Source organism: Homo sapiens, chromosome 5, assembly GCF_000001405.40.
Source record: "Homo sapiens chromosome 5, GRCh38.p14 Primary Assembly".
NCBI lineage: Eukaryota > Metazoa > Chordata > Mammalia > Primates > Hominidae > Homo > Homo sapiens.
Genome location: NC_000005.10, coordinates 147,174,592 through 147,191,667, shown reverse-complemented (window position 1 = coordinate 147,191,667; position 17,076 = coordinate 147,174,592). Strand labels below are relative to the sequence as shown.

The following is a 17,076-nucleotide window of genomic DNA, read 5'->3' as shown; positions in this document are numbered from 1 at the left end:
ACAAGACCTTGATAATAGCAAATTTAAATAGCTGGTAAGTGGCAAAGCTGGGATTCAAACCTGGGCAGTCTGGCTCCATATGTTGTGCTTTTGAGTTCTAGAAAGAGATTTAAAAGTTAAGTAGAAGAGAGGAATATCATCAGCAGAGTTGGTCCATCTGACTGTAAAACCCACACACGTAAGCACTGTGCTGTGTTGTCTCCTCTAGCAAATGCCCCGGAAGCCTCAACTGTAAAAGCCCCATTCAGTCTTGGGGCATCTTTTCCTGGCAAGTGCTGCTGTTGCTCTGGGGTTCCTCCCACTTCATACATCATGCATTTTCAAAGGAAAATAGTACTCCTGTGTTCATACTGATGCAAATCACTTCGTCCCAGCATGAGCAAGCAAAAGGATCTAAACTGGTCTTCCTCTGCCCCCTCAGAAGAGATGATTAGTTCCAGCACAAAGTTACAAAAGGGAATGAGTTGTCAACATTTAAATATCAGCAGATTTTATATAACAATCCAGGTTTCACCATCTCCTGAAAAATCTGAGTATCTACCAACCTTGAGCCTCATACCCACATGACAGCAACTGAGTGGAGCTGAGCAGCAAAATGAGTATGTGAACTACATGTTGCCATAGCCTCCTTCTTAAAAATCTTCTCTGGCCTTCAGTAGTAGCCTGGTTCACATAGGCATGAAGCATGAGACTCATGGAAGGCACTCCATGGATGTCAGCTGCTATTATTTAGGCTTTTGTTGTTATTGTCTGGCTCATATCCCCCGTGTTTTATCAGAGCCTGAAACTCAGGAAGTGTGGTAGTTTGCAAAAATAAAAATTGCCACTAATTTCCCCTATGCTTGCATGCACCCTCCTTTGCAATATGATTTTGCTGCTCCTCCAAACAAGATGGGGGCCCATCTCTCCATCCTGTGAACCTGGGCTTGGCCATGTAACTTGCCTTGGCTAATGGGGTATTGGCAAATGTGTAGTAATCAAGTGCTTGGGGGTTGGGGCCTGCTGCCCTGTCTTGCTGGTGGAAATTCTTGGCCACCATATGATAAGCCCAAAGTAGCCTATTGGAGGATGAGTGACCATGTGGAGGGAGGGCCCAGCTATGCAAGCAAGGCCATCTGAGATCGATGGACCAGAGGAATTAATAAGCAACCCCTGGAATCAGGACAAGTAAGAAGTCATTATTGTTCTAAGCCACTAACTTGTGAGTTGGCTTTTACACAATAATAGCTAACTGACATGAAGACAAAGGCTTATTAATGCCTCTATACAACAGATGCTGCAGCATAAGTGGTGGTTTTCTGGATAGTCTTTAAATTAGTCATTCTCTCCTTACAAATAAGGCCTAAAACAAGTTGACACTTCTGTTTCAGTTTTTATTCCACTCTTATTGAATGAAAAAAGGACAGAAGTAAAAATCAATAGTAAGAGAATTTTTAGGGTGTTTTTATAAGTGGAGAATGAACATTTAGGTAAATATACAGAAAGCCAAGTTAAATATACAGAAATGGTACACAGCCATGCACTGCATAATGACAGTTTAGTCAATGACAAAAATATATAACCCATATACAAGAAGGTTCCCATAAGATTATAATACTGTATTTTTGCTGCACCTTTTCTATGTTTAGGTATATTTAGCCACACAAACCCATCGTGTTACAATTGCCCATGGTATTCAATGCAGTAACACGCTGCTTAACAAGCTGGTCCAACCCGTGGCCCATGGGCTGCCTGCAGCCCAGAACAGTTCTGAATGCGGCCCAACACAAATTCATAAACTTTCTTAAAACATTATGAGGTTTTTTTTTGTGATTTTTAAAATCTTTTTATCTATTGTTAGTGTATTTTATGTGTGGCCCAAGACAATTCTTCTTTTTCTGGTGTGGCCCAGGGAAGCCAAATGGTTGGACACCCCTGCTATAGGTTTGAAGCCCAGGAGCAATAGGCAATATCAGATAGCCTGGGTGTGTAGTAAGCTATGCCATTTAGGTTTGTGTAAGCACATTCTAGGATATTCATACAGTGTTGAAATCTAAAGACACATTTCTTTAAACATATCCCTGTTGTTAGGTGACATAACTGTAAACTTTCTGTAAATATGCAGAAAACATTAAGGTAAATATACAGAAACTTCTTACAGAAGTAATAGAATATACGGAAAATGCACATCATCATGTTCCTTGATAATTTTCCCAATTATGAAGACTTCATGTGCATATTAGTATTTTTCACAAAGTTATCACGATGGCAATAAATGGCAACAATGAGAAGAAGAAGAGTTTCTATATTGAGCTCTTACACACCCAGCACTTTTCTAAGGACTCTTACATAGATTTTTTTTCTTTAGTCCTCAAAACAACCCTATAAGGAACGTCTTATTATTGTGCCCATTTTACAGTGGGGGAAAATGAGTCTCAGAGAGATGGGGGTAACTTCAGAGTTCCAGAGCTGGGACCTAACCTGCAGTTTTGTTAAAAGCCCATGTTAACATCTACACTTTACCATTTCCTTGTGATAGCAGTCATAGCGTCATATTAATTAAAGGGTTTAAAGCCTCTAAAGGATGACCTGAATTTGAACAGAAGGATTTTCGCATTTCTTTCATCTGTTACGAGCTCCCTTTGCAGAGCAGAGACACTTTTATTTCTATCCACCAGGGGGCAGTCTAAGTCAGAGTTTGATTCTGAAATCAACAGCTCTGAGCGTTACTTGGCCGCGCCTTCATAGCTTCATTTCTATCGTTGTTTTGTTTTATCTTGTTTTTCATTTTAAAATGCCTTGAGATTCCCCAGCTTTTCAGGACACTATTCTTTTTCAACCAGCAACGTGAGCCGTGGAGACATTGCTGGATAAAATGCCAGGATACTTGCTTACTGTGTGTTCCTGCATTAGTGACCCTCCAACCTTCGGAATCACTCCGCTTGCGGCATCAGATTGATTTTGACAATGAAATGATGAGGCTGGGCAAGTTTTAGGGATTACTTCGACTCTCACAATCTACCACTTCTAGTGTAAAAGTCGGTACGAGTCTTAACACGGTACGAACAAGGGGGTGCAAGAAATGTTACATTTGTTGTTCATAAATCAAACTGTGACTAAGTTCCCATCCTGCCAGATTGATGAGAAGTGTACTCTGTCATTATTGAAGCTCCGCCCCCCCAACTCTCCCCACCCCAATTACAAAGGTGCCAAAGAGTCCAGAAGGTGCCTGTTCTGGGAGCCTCTGTCCACACTGGGTACCGAGGGATGTCCATTGTCCAAGCCTGTCTGGTCTCCTGAGATCAAGCACCTGCTGCTGTGTTTCTTGCCTGAAGGACCCTTGCCTGTGTTGGGAGTCTAGGCCCCTGTTTCTCCAGGTATGTCTCCGAGTCAGGAAGCCTTTGATCAACAGCAGCAAAGATGTATTAGAGACGATAGCCTTTCTCTGGCTGTAGTAGTCCCAACTACTTGGGAGGCTGAGGTGGGAGAATCACTTGAACCAGGAGGCAGAAGTTACAGTGAGCCAAAATCGTGCCGCTGCACTCCAGCCTGGGTGACAAAGCAAGACTCTGTCTCAAAAACAAAATAAAATAACCCAGTTTGGGGTATGTCTTTATTAGCAGCATGAGAACAGACTAATACGATAAAAGCCCAAATTTTCACTCAAAGGAGAAAGAAGGAAGAAGAGAGAATGGGGAGGGAGGGAATAGAGGAGAGCTGTCCTCAGCGACCTCTACTTTACCTTTGCAAAAATTCCTAGGAAAAGGAAACACAAAGGGCCTGGCTATCTTCATGGAAGGGAGAGAGAAATCATGAAACAAAACATATTGATGTTTAAATAAATAGTGCCCAGCCACTTCATAAGTCAAGAGCCTTGAGACTAAAACAGACAGTGTCTTGAGCTATATTTATTTTTCACAGTCTTATAACCAAGATTCCACTCAATGCCTATTGGATGGTTAATTTTCTTATTCATTCTGAAAGAGAAGAGGAATAATAGGCAGGATTAGTTTTTGAAACAAAATGACCAGTATTGAAGCTGAAAGCGAAGCATAGCTGTGAATCCTGGTAGCACAGCTTTCTGGCTGTGAGACCTTGGAGAATACTGACTCTTCCTTCTTCAACATGGAGGTATATAAATTCTGGATCTAGTTTAAAGGGATTTGCTGATTGCTTGAAATTGACTCAGTATCCTTATTACCTCCCACCCCCAGGGGAGGCTGCAGACACTTTTATGGAGTGCTACAGTCAGGCTGAAGAGAGCCTTGGTGATTCTCTCCTCCTTTGTTGTGACCCTTTCTGCTCTGTTCCTCTGTCCACATATCCAGACCTCCTGGCCTACGCTTGGTCCTGGGGGATTGATGCTTTTCTGGCCCTCTGCTTTATCTCTGAATACAGCCATTTGAATCCCATGTGTTATTCACTCTGTAATCTGAGATCTTGCTCCAGATTAAAAAACCATAACCCATATTCAAAGCCTCAAGGCCCCCAAAATTGTCCATTAAACAAAACAAATGTGTACTGTACCAAGGCAGCTGTACTAATGTACATTCCTATTAGCAGTGCATGATGGGTACATGAAGGACCTGCTCTTGTCCTTGAAAATATTTGGTACCCACGGACTTCTAGTCTTTGCCATTCTGGTGAGTGTGATACTGCTTTTCAGCGTGTGTGTGTTTTATCATTATGGTAAAAAAAAAAAAAGGCATAATATCAGATGTGTATGTACCCTTTTAACCCTTTTATGTGCATACTGCATTTTGATCATGTTTTTTAACATGAGTATCCTGATTGCTAAGAAATTTAGCATTTTTTAAACAAGTTTACCTGGTTTTCTCTTCCGCAACTGGCCTGTTCAAAAACGTTTCCCATGTTTCTGTTGTGTTGGGGTTTTTTGTTTATTCTTTTTATTGATTTATAAAAATTCCTTATATGTCCTAGATACTAGTCCTTTGTCAAATAAATGGGTGATAAATGTATACTTCTAGTCTATAGCTCTTTTCATTTTGCTAATTGAACCTGTTGATGTAGTTTAATATGCTGACTCTCTTTTTTGTTTTTGAACTGTGTTCTTTGTATCGTGTTTAGGAAATTTTTTCTGCACTGAAAAACTGGGTGGCATCAAATTTTAAAGAGCTTTGCCTCCCCTGAAAAGACATTTCTAAGATGTTTTAGCTAATATTCCAAAAATTGACAATGACCACCTTAAGAATATTTGTTGTGTAAGTGCTAAGTCAACTAGGTATTCACAATAAAGACAATAAAGTTAGATTCCTACTTTGCACTATACTTAAACAATGCCAGGGACTTGAAAGTGCTATATGTGAGGGGAGCAAAACTTAGTAAAATATATAGAAGAAAACCTCTCATTTTTCTAAAAGTTTTTCTTTAAACTTAAAAATTAAAAAAAAAAAATTGTCGGCTGGGCGGGGTGGCTCATTTCTGTAATCCCAGCACTTTGGGAGGCCAAGGCAGGTGGATCATGAGGTCAGGAGATCGAGACCATCCTTGCCAACATGGTGAAACCCCATCTGTATGAAAAATACAAAAAGTTAACTGGGTGTGGTGGCATGTGCCTGTAATCCCAGCTACTTGGGAGGCTGAGGCAGAAGAATCACCTGAACCCGGGAGTTGGAGGTTGCAGTGAGCCGAGATCATGCCACTGCACTCCAGCCTGGTAACAGAGTGAGACCCCATCAAAAAAAAAAAAAAAAAGAAAAAGAAAAGAAAAAAAAAGAAAACAAATTTGTCCCCCTTCTATTAGTCAGAAGGTATGACCTGATATTGTAGCTGCAATGAGCAAGTGTAACAGAGCAGAGATGGTGACAGAAGTGACTGCACATGTGTCTGTCCACAGGTCAGGGCCAGATCATAAAGGGCTGTGGTGTTGGAATGTTATCAAGGATAATAGACAGCCAGAGAGGCTTTACATAGCAGAGTGATGTGATTATCAGATTCGCTTTAAGAAAGCTCCAGCATCCTACATAAGGCTAGCCAGTTTTCCCAGCATCATTTGTTAAATAGGGAATCCTTTCCCCATTTCTTGTTTTTATCAGGTTTGTCAAAGATCAGATAGGTATAGATGGGTCGTATTATTTCTGAGGACTCTGTTCTGTTCCATTGGTCTATGTCTCTGTTTTGGTACCAGTACCATGCTGTTTTGGTTACTGTAGCCTTGTAGTATAGTTTGAAGTCAGGTAGCTTAATGCCTCCAGCTTTGTTCTTTTGGCTTAGGATCGACTTGGCAATGCAGTCTCTTTTTTGGTTCCATATGAAATTTAAAGCAGTTTTTTCCAATTCTGTGAAGAAACTCATTGGTAGCTTGATGGGGATGGCATTCAATCTATAAATTACCTTGGGCAGTATGGCCATTTTCATGATATTGATTCTTCCTATCCATGAGCATGGAATGTTCTTCCATTTGTTCATGTCCTCTTTTATTTCGTTGAGCAGTGGTTTGTAGTTCTTCTTGAAGAGGTCCTTCACATCCCTTGTAAGTTGGATTCCTAGGTATTTTATTCTCTTTGAAGCAATTGTGAATGGGAGTTCACTCATGATTTGGCTCTCTGTTTGTCTGTTATTGGTGTATAAGAATGCTTGTGATTTTTGCACATTGACTTTGTATCCTGAGACTTTGCTGAAGTTGCTTATCAGCTTAAGGAGATTTTGGGCTGAAATGATGGGGTTTTCTAGATATACAATCATGTCATCTGCAAACAGGGATAATTTGACTTCCTCTTTTCCTAATTGAATACTCTTTATTTCTTTCTCCTGCCTGATTGCCCTGGCCAGAACTTCCAACACTATGTTGAATAGGAGTGGTGAGAGAGGGCATCCCTGTCTTGTGCCAGTTTTCACAGGGAATGCTTCCAGTTTTTGCCCATTCAGTATGATATTGGCTGTGGGTTTGTCATAAATAGCTCTTATTATTTTGAGATACGTCCCATCAATACCGAATTTATTGATAGTTTTTAGCATGAAGGGTTGTTGAATTTTGTCAAAGGCCTTTTCTGCATCTATTGAGATAATCATGTGGTTTTTGTCTTTGGTTCTGTGTATATGCTGGATTACGTTTATTGATTTGTGTATGTTTAACCAGCCTTGCATCCCAGGGATGAAGCCCACTTGATCATGGTGGATAAGCTTTCTGATGTGCTGCTGGATTTGGTTTGCCAGTATTTTATTGAGGATTTTTGCATCGATGTTCATCAGGGATATTGATCTAAAATTCTCTTTTTTTTTTGTTGTGTCTCTGCCAGGCTTTTGTATCATATGTAGAAAGCTGAAACTGGATCCCTTCCTTACACCTTATACAAAAATTAATTCAAGATGGATTAAAGACTTAAATATTAGACCTAAAACCATAAAAACTCTAGAAGAAAACCTAGGCAATACCCTTCAGGACATAAGCATGGGCAAGGACTTCATGTCTAAAACACCAAAAGCAATGGCAACAAAAGCCAAAATTGACAAATGGGATCTAATTAAACTAAAGAGCTTCTGCACAGCAAAAGAAACTACCATCAGAGTGAACAGGCAACCTACAGAATAGGAGAAAATTTTTGCAATCTACTCATCTGACAAAGGGCTAATATCCAGAATCTACAATGAACTCAAACAAGTTTACAAGAAAAAAACAAACAACCCCATCAACAAGTGGGCGAAGGATATGAACAGACACTTCTCAAAAGAACACATTTATGCAGCCAACAGACACATGAAAAAATGCTCATCATCACTGGCCATCAGAGAAATGCAAATCAAAACCACAATGAGATATCATCTCATACCTGTTAGAATGGCGATCATTAAAAAGTCAGGAAACAACGGGTGCTGGAGAGGATGTGGAAACATAGGAACACTTTTACACTGTTGGTGGGACTGTAAACTAGTTCAACCATTGTGGAAGACAGTGTGGCGATTCCTCAGGGATCTAGAACAGAAATACCATTTGACCCAGCCATCCCATTACTGGGTATATACCCAAAGGATTATAAATCATGCTGCTATAAAGACACATGCACGTGTATGTTTATTACGGCACTATTCACAATAGCAAAGACTTGGAACCAATCCAAATGTCCAACAATGATAGACTGGATTAAGAAAATGTGGCACATATACACCATGGAATACTGTGCAGCCATAAAAAATGATGAGTTCATGTCCTTTGCAGGGACATGGGTGAAGCTGGAAACCATCATTCTCAGCAAACTATCCCAAGGACAAAAAACCAAACACCGCATGTTCTCACTCATAGGTGGGAATTGAACAATGAGAACACTTTGACACAGGAAGGGGAACATCACACACTGGGGCCTGTTGTGGAGTGGGGGGAGGGGGGAGGGATAGCATTAGGAAGAATACCTAATGTAAATGACGAGTTAATGGGTGCAGCACACCACCGTGGCACATGTATACATACGTAACAAACCTACCCGTTGTGCACATATACCCTAGAACTTAAAGTATAATAAATATATATATATTAAAAAAAAAAAAAAAAAGAAAGCTCCAGCAGCAACAAGGTGCAGACACTGGACGAGAAACAGGAGTGAGAAACAATGGTGAGAAGTCTATTGTGGTCAGCAAGGTGGAAGTGATGGGGCCCTGAATCTGGGCAGTGTCTGTTGTGATGGGCAAAAGAAGAAGTGGATTTGAGAGCCTTTAAGGACAGGCAATTGCTGGGAGCTAGTTAATGTAAATTAGCTTCTTCCAGACCACAAGAAATTGGCCACCAAAAATATAAAATTTGGGGTTGGGAGGCAAATGCAGAAACCCGAAGTCCTTATACGAAGTCAGCTCTGGGGTGGAATAAAACATTCCCATTTATCTGTTTTCTATTTCAAAACTCCTCTTTTAAGGAGATGTAAGAAACATCTATTTTTTGAGCATTGGCATACAATTCTTTGACAACAGCATTTTAATACTAAAAAGTAAGTTATTTACCTTATTTTACTAATATTTCTTGCTTTACATGTAAAAAGTAGAGTCTTAAACAGTCAGTGGCACTTCTCAGTGAAGGAAAAGGTGCTTCCGACTTACAAAGTAAGATGAATCCCAGAGAGCACAAGTCCATTTCAAGGAATTATGCCTAACAAACATTAATTTGTAAAATGCAGTACTAGGAAACATCTCTCCCCGCGTGCCCCAAAAGTCAACATGAAGTTTTAGTGCTTTAGGAAATGAGACAACGAGGCGAAGATTAGATTGCCTTTTCATATAAAGTAATTGGATGCAATAATATTAATGACTTAGGGATGAGACAGAGATTAAATATGCAAGTTTAAATGAGGATGTCCTAAAAATAATCACCTTCAAGAAGGGTGGAGGATCATCAGATGTTGGACAGAAACTGTCAAAAACTTGAGCATAATAATATAAATAACATTTTTTTTGAGACGGAGTCTTGCTCTGTTGTCCAGGCTGGAATGCAATGGTTTGATCTAGGCTCACTGCAACCTCCTCCTCCCAGGTTCAAGCGATTCTCCTGTCTCAGCCTCCTGAGTAGCTGGAAATATAGCGCACACCACCATGCCTGGCTAATTTTTATAGTCTCTAATTTTAGTAGAGATGGGGTTTCACCATGTTGGCCAGGCTGGTCTTGAACTCCTGACCTCAGGTGATCTGCCTGCCTTAGCCTCCCAAAGTGCTGGGATTACAGGTGTAAGCCACTGTGCCCAGCCCATTTTTTTAAGTTTTTATTACTTTTGATATCATCAGTGTTGTCCTATGACCACCCTCCCTTGCAGTGGACAATAGCTATTATGGTTTCAGGCTTCTCAGCTACATAGCATATAATCAATACGCACCTAATTGGTCCAAATTCAATTCAATCTCCTAGTTAGGGGAATACATGGGCTGCTTGTCTTAAGTCAAAGTTAACTGAAAGAATCACTATATTCAGGGGACTGAGATTACTTTGATTAACTTAGACCTGTCAGTGTCCACCCTTGAACCTGGGGATGAAGGCAGCTTAATCTTGTATTTGTTTTCATGCTGCTAATAAAGACATACCCAAGACTGGGTAATTTATAAAGAAAAAGAGGTTTAATGGACTCACGGTTCCACCTGGCTGGGGAGGCCTCATAATCATGGCAGAAGGCAAAGCGGAAGCAAGACCCATCTTACATGGCAGCAGGCAAGAGCTCATGTGTAGGGGAACTTCCCTGTATAAAACCATCAGATCTCATGAGACTTATTCACTATTATGAGAACAGCATGGGAAAACCTGCCCCCATGATTCAATTACCTCCCACTGAGTCTCTCCCATGGCATGTGGGGATTATGGGAGCTACAATTCAAGATGAGATTTGGGTGGGGACACAGCCAAACCATATCAATTTTTTTTTTTTTTTTTTTGAGATGGAGTTTCACTCTTGTTCCCCTGACTGGAGTGCAATGGCGCAATCTTGGCTCACCACAACCTCCGCCTCTTGGGTTCAAGCAATTCTCTTGCCTCAGCCTCCCAAATAGCTGGGATTATAGGCATGGGCCACCACACCCAGCTAATTTTGTATTTTTAGAGGAAACGGGGTTTCTCCATGTTGGTCAGGCTGGTCTCAAACTTCCGACCTGAGGTGATCTGCCCACCTCGGCCTCCCAAGCTGCTGGGGTTACAGGTGTATCAGTCTTAAAGTACAGGGCTGTCTGGGAAAAGGCTGGATACAAACAATGATCTGAGTCCTGCTATAAAGGAAAGTAGGGAATACATTATTAGTCACAGCCTTATCAGCACGAGTGGGAGAGACTTGGCGTTTTCTAATTGTTGATGCCAGATAAGGAAACTTAGCTGAAATATGGGTGTAAATATGAATCCCTTATGTCTTCATACTTTTCAAAGTTCTTTGACATTGAATCTCTTTGGTTCTTCACACAAACTGTTGCAGTTTTCAACAGAGAAAATATGATTCTCTCTCTTTTTTTTTTTTTTTTTTTTTGCAGATGGAGAAACAGAGGGAAGAAGAGACTTGGAATCACTCTGTCCTGGCTGTGGGTCTATGAAAAAGAATGTGGCCTACTGCTAAATACATTGATTTTGAAGCTAGATAGCTCTGGTTTTGGGGAGCAAGTGATTTGATCTCTCAGAGACTCAGCTACTTCATCAGTAAACAGAGATTACCATATCCACCAGTAATGGCTATAGGAGCAGTAATAGGGATGATATAGGTGAAAGCACTGATCACTGAATGATTCCAAAGACAGGTGCAGAGAGGTTCAGGCATCAGACAGGCTACCTGGATCCAAATCCCAGCTCCATCATTTACTACTTTCATGGCCTTTACAAACCACTAAACTTCTCTCTGAGCTTCAATTTTCCCATCTGTAACATGGGAACTAATAAAATGAAACCTTCCTAATAAAGTTGCCAGGAAGATTCATTGAGACATTGAATGTAAAGTATTTAACTCAATATAGAGCACAGGGGAGCACCAAATAAAATTCAGGTGTTACATTTTTAAGCACGTGTTCACCAAGGCTCCCAATTCAGGTGGTGAGGATTCTATGATGATCAATTCCTCCTAAGGTATTTGTAAAATGACCCACCAGATTACCAACCATTCCTGTATTTCCAGAACCCTTTGGAGTCCTTTATGTAACCTGGGAGAGCTGTTATTCTTTTTTCTTTTTGGTAGAAGTGAAATCCTGCAGGAAAACTTGCTCCATTTTGGTTATTTCTGTTATATCACAAGGTGGGCTGGATAGCAAGTTTTGGAAGCACTGAACACCCACACGGAGCTGGCTCCTCTCAGGCGGGGAGGCATCTTCACTAAGGAGGTGAGTGAAAAACATGACCCAACACAAATCATGCTTCAATTATATCCATTTCCTATAGTTGGGGGAAGGTTGCAGTGCTATCTTTTCCTCATTTGAAAGAGAAAGTAGAACATTTGGTGTGAATAAAGGCAGTGGCAAGAATGACATGTTTGGACAGCTATTTCACACTCTTGTTAAAGACATTAGCTTTTCTCCAGAATCAAAAGACAGAGTGGAGACCAGCCTTATGTCTAAATGTCAAAGAGCACCGAAATTCAAATGCAATTTTTTATGCTCAATTTATAGGCCTATTTCACTTTTTTGTCATCTGTTTTTAATTGGTAAGCTTACAAAAGATTGGGATATTGTCCTGTTTTAAAATTGTTTTCTCAACTAGGTCAAATGGTATTGTATACAGAGACGCAACTCTGAGTATTTTTCTGAGTCTATTTGCCTCTTAAAGACACATCAGGACAAGTGGACTGATTGTCAGTATTTATTACAAACATGACATTAGAAAATATTAATTCGGATTCATTAAGAGCTAATTATGTTCACTAGGGAAAATGGAGCAGAAAACACAAATAAAAAACTAAAAGCAATCATAATTCCAAACCAGCTGCTACAACTACCATAACATTTTCTTGTATCTCTTTCCACTCTTTTACTTTGCAGGTATGTTTTCATGATCATTGAGTTTTTTTAATGGGTGGTGCATGTGTGTGTTAGTATATATTTTATGTATATAAGTATATAAGTTTATAAGTATACAAGTATGCTTATATTTTAAACATCTTTCAATGATAGTATAAGCTTTTTCTCTTTAAAATTTATTATTACAAATACAATTATTCTGGACATACAAAAAGATACCAAGAGCTGTATAACAAACATGAGGTATCCACCACCATTTAAGAACAAATGTCATGACCAATCCCGTTGAATCTCTTCTCTGACTTGCAAAAGTAACTACAAATCTAATTTTGGCATTTATCATTTTTGTCAGGTATATATGCTTTTACTACAAATTTATGTTAGCTTAAGTATTTTTAGGATTTCCTCACTTGTTTTTGAAATTTTATGTAAATATTGTCATATAGTAGTTTTCCTGTAGTTTGCTTTTTCCCCCTCAATGTGATTTTTTTCCAGATTCATCTATATTGATCCCTACAGTTTTGGTTATTTTTAATGCAGTATAACATTCCATTTTATAAATATTTGTCACAAATTATTTGTCCACCCATCAGAGGATGAACATATGGAAATAACTTTGTATTCCAAGAAATGGCATTGCAGGGTTATAGGGTATAAATAGTCTCAGCTTCATTAACTTTATATGTTGGCAAATAGTTCCCCAAAGAAATGTATCAATTCTTCCCCGAAGAATTGTATCATTTCATACCATCAACATGTAAAATATCTTATTTCTTCAAATTCTAAGTCTTTTAAATATTTCTGCCTATCATACAAGTGTGAAATGTTTTTGGTTGCAGTATTCATGATCACTTTTAAGACTACTGGTGAGATTGAACACATTTCATTTGTGCTTTTTCTGTTCAAATTTCTTGTATGTGTTTCATATAACAATGTTTCAAATGTATTACTACTTATTTATTGGCATTTAGAAAACATATGTGCATGTGGGATACACACACACAGGTGTATAGGAGAATTAGATCCACGAAAATCAGGTGTTACAAAGAGTTAGGTACAAAACTATGAAGAAAGTAGAGAAGGATTGACCTGATACAATAGGCTTGTGGAGAGGCGACTGGTTGATAAAACCTGGGGAACAGTGATCTAAATAACAGATAAAGAACAAACAACTAGACGTCACTCTTATTTAAGCCAGAGAAAGAAAGTAAAAAAAAAAATCTTAAACTTTTTTTTAAACAGTTAAATGGAGTATCCATTTAGAATTTGTCAGGTGCAAAGCTATCACGAGAAGTTATTACATTCTTTCAGTAAAAGGCTTACTTATGGATAATGACGACCTTTGTTTGAATAACACTTCAACATTTGGAAACTCTTTGGCTGTATAATCTAAATCTGCCATGAGGCAAACATGACACAATTAGCCTATAAGAGACGGTTAATGTGTGAAGCAGGGAGGTAAGACTTGGTTTTTGCCTTCAAGGAGTTCATAGCCTGCTGATAGAGACAGAGGCACAAAGTTTTATAATTATAAAGGTACTTTTGGAATGTGGTGTTGCAGAGAAAGGGACCAATGCTACTATGTGGTGGGGAGAGGGAAGCTTTGCAGGGGGTGTGTGTCTCATAGGGTGAGTAATGCTTGGGAGATAGAAGAAAAAAAGGACATTCCAGACAGAGAAGCACATTCCTAAAGGCAAAAAAAAAAAAATGTTGAAGTGATGGGAACATATTCGAAGAACAATAGAAAATGATTGTGGCTGCAAATTACTTGACATTTCTCTTGTTCAGAGGTGCAGTCTGTGTCCCCGTCCTTGACTCTGAGAATCCCTGTGATCAACAGAATGCAGAAAAGTGACACTGCATGGCTTCTGAGGCTAGGTCCAGAAAAGGTGATGCAGCTTCCCCCTTTGCGCTGAAATGCAGTGCTTGGACCTCAGAGCTATTGACTAAGAAGTCCATGCACCCTGAGCTTCTCATGCTGGGGAAGCCACGTGTAGGCATTCAGTTCCCAGCCCAGCTGAGCTCCATCCTGGCTGCAACAATTGTTCTCATGAGGAAGCCATCTTGGACACTCAGCTCCATGGAGCCTCCACGAGTCGCCAGCCCCAACTGACATCTGTCTCACTGCAACCACAGAAGAGCCTCCAACCAAGAACTGCACAGCTGAACCCTTTCTAAATTCTTGATCTCCAAAAAGCCATGCACAAAATAAAATGGTTGTTTTGAGCCACTAAACTCTGGAACCTCGAGTAGGGGAGAAGTTCCTTTGGGTAGGTGTCATTTTCCTAGGCTACCATTCATTTTCTCTTATTTTGGTGATAGCAGTCTGATTTATGTGTGTGGGTGGGTCGGGGGTAACCCTGATCTTAAGTCATGTAGTTCAGGTGCCTCCTGGATGTGCCTGCCTAACCATCATATCCCCACTACGGTACGGTGTTTGTAAAGAGTTGAGCAAATAATCCAGGACAGACCACTGAGATTCTGCCTTGTGACTTTTGTTAAAATTAGTGAGAAAAAGTCACTCTCGGGGCAGGCTGGAGTAAAGAGGGATTGCTAAATAGATGCTAGGTAGGCCTGAAACTGCTGGGGGCCAATTTATTATGAAGCAGGAAGAACCTAATAAGGAATAAAGTTACTCTGGAGGAAAGCCAAGCAAAGGAGGGTGAGAGACAGCTTCCTGATGAGACTAAGCTTTGGACCCAGTTTTGCCTGGAACTTCGGCAGGCTGTTTTAGTTTCGTAAGTTAATACGTACTCCTTTTTGATTAAGCTATTTCAGAGGTGTCACTTGCATCTGAAAGATTCCTAATACAGACAGGTAAGATCAGGTCATGGAGGGCTTTGTGCCCTGTGATGGTAAAGTTTTACTTTATTCTGTAAAGAATGAGAACTATATTTTAATCAGGAGCAGGATGATGAGATGTACACTTTAGCAAGACACCTGAATGCACTGAGAAGGGATATTTTGGTGTTAGGAACAGGGAAATGGACTAGGAGTATATAGTGTTAGTTTAGGACATTATGATGCCAACTAATATAGCTGGTGGGATTGGATATGCAATTTGAGAAATATTTAAATCATGGAATCAACACAATTCAGACAGGTTGGGTGGTGTTGGGATAAGGAAGAGAGAAGAAGCAAGGATGACTTTTAGATGGATGGCTTATATACAAGCTGGACTATGTATCACTAAAGAGAATATTAGCTCCAGTTTATGTCTGATGACTCAGAAGTTAAACAACCTGCCCAAGGTTGTGTACCTAGTAAGAGCAGAACCAATCAGGTCTTTAGGCTCCAAGACTTTCATTCTTTGAATTGTATCAGGCCACTCACTGTGTTGAGGCCGCCATGTGCACTGCATTCCCAAGAAATCATAGCACATGGGGCTGCTTGTTGTTCAGCACATCAGGAGGAAGGCAAAATTATTAATGCTTTCTTTTGGTCTCCTTGCTGTGTCTGACTTGCTACCAAACAAAACCTCTGCAGCAGGGCATTTGTACTATTCAGGTTTTCTTGGCTGACTTATCAGCATTTGTGAAAAGTACAGACGATTTTGTTCCAGCCTTTCTGCATTCTGACTTCAGAAGCTGATTACAGATGCAGAAACATGAAGGGAGGTGAAATCTATTTCCCAAGATGGACTATGGATTGGTTCTAAAGATCAAAAGGGTGTGGCTTTTCAATACAAACAACAAAGTCTGGGAGTTTTTGCACAGTGGAAGAGAAAGGCAAGTAGTAAGGGTGGCAAAGTGCTCATTAGGAAGAAAAGTTAACAGGAAAACTTGGTTTAAATCAAGGCAAGTATGAAGAGAAGGTTATCAACTTTATGAAAAAGAGGACCAGAGAAGGCGAAGTGGCAAGCTGAGTGGCGAATGCTGCTTATCATATATCCAGTTAAAATTTCTTGGTCTCATTCTTCACCATTGTTAAAATACTTTAACATATTTTATATACACTTAAATATCTGCTCCTTTCTAGTAATATATTTTATGTCTTTTACCATCTTTGAGCCACAATGATCTCAACTGTGAAATGGGAGCAGTAACAAATTGCACCATAAGATTGTTGTGTTAAATAATGGCATGAATGTGCTTAGCCTGTTGCTTGTCACATGGAATCTGCACAGTTAATGCTCATAGCCTGTAACTCTTCCCATCCTCTTCAGCAAGCTTTTATTTAATGACGCAGTTACGAATGAGAAACTCCTGCAAGAATGATCAGTGTGCATTGGATAGATGTTAATTAGGTAGGACAGCCAGCATTATGTTCATTTGAAGGGGAAAAAAACTGAGGTTTTCAGAGGTTAAGTAGCTTGCTGCAAAGTGCTTAGCTATCAACAAATAGGAGGTGGTTTTCTCCAGAGGGCCCCAGGTGAGATGCACAGGTGTTACCCAGTGCAGACTTTTGGTCACCTTCACTTAACATGGTGATTGTTATCAGATGAGAAAGAAGACACCCTGGAATTGAGAAAGTGCCATACAAGATGAGGCCATTGCAAAGAGGAAAAAAGAGGCCCTGTGTGAGGCTAGGAAGACAGCACAACAATGAGCCCATGGCTTGCCAGGAAAGGATCAGAAATGGGAGGAGTGTTGTAGGCTAGTGGGACATTCTCAAGCTTCAGATCAGGTGATTCTGTGCCCAAATTATCACTCCTCCATGTATTATCTGTGTGACTTTGAACAAGGT

General features: G+C 40.0%; 1 long non-coding RNA gene across 1 annotated transcript in view; it reads left to right on the top strand.

The window, feature by feature from the left end:
- STK32A-AS1 (STK32A antisense RNA 1) overlaps positions 1-14,633 on the top strand; it is a 57,897-nt gene extending 43,264 nt beyond the window's left edge. The window contains exons 3-4 of the long non-coding RNA NR_147190.1: positions 10,924-11,757; positions 14,179-14,633. This is a non-coding gene — a long non-coding RNA (STK32A antisense RNA 1). The remainder of the gene's footprint in view (positions 1-10,923; positions 11,758-14,178) is intronic.
- The last annotated feature ends 2,443 nt before the right edge of the window (positions 14,634-17,076 follow it).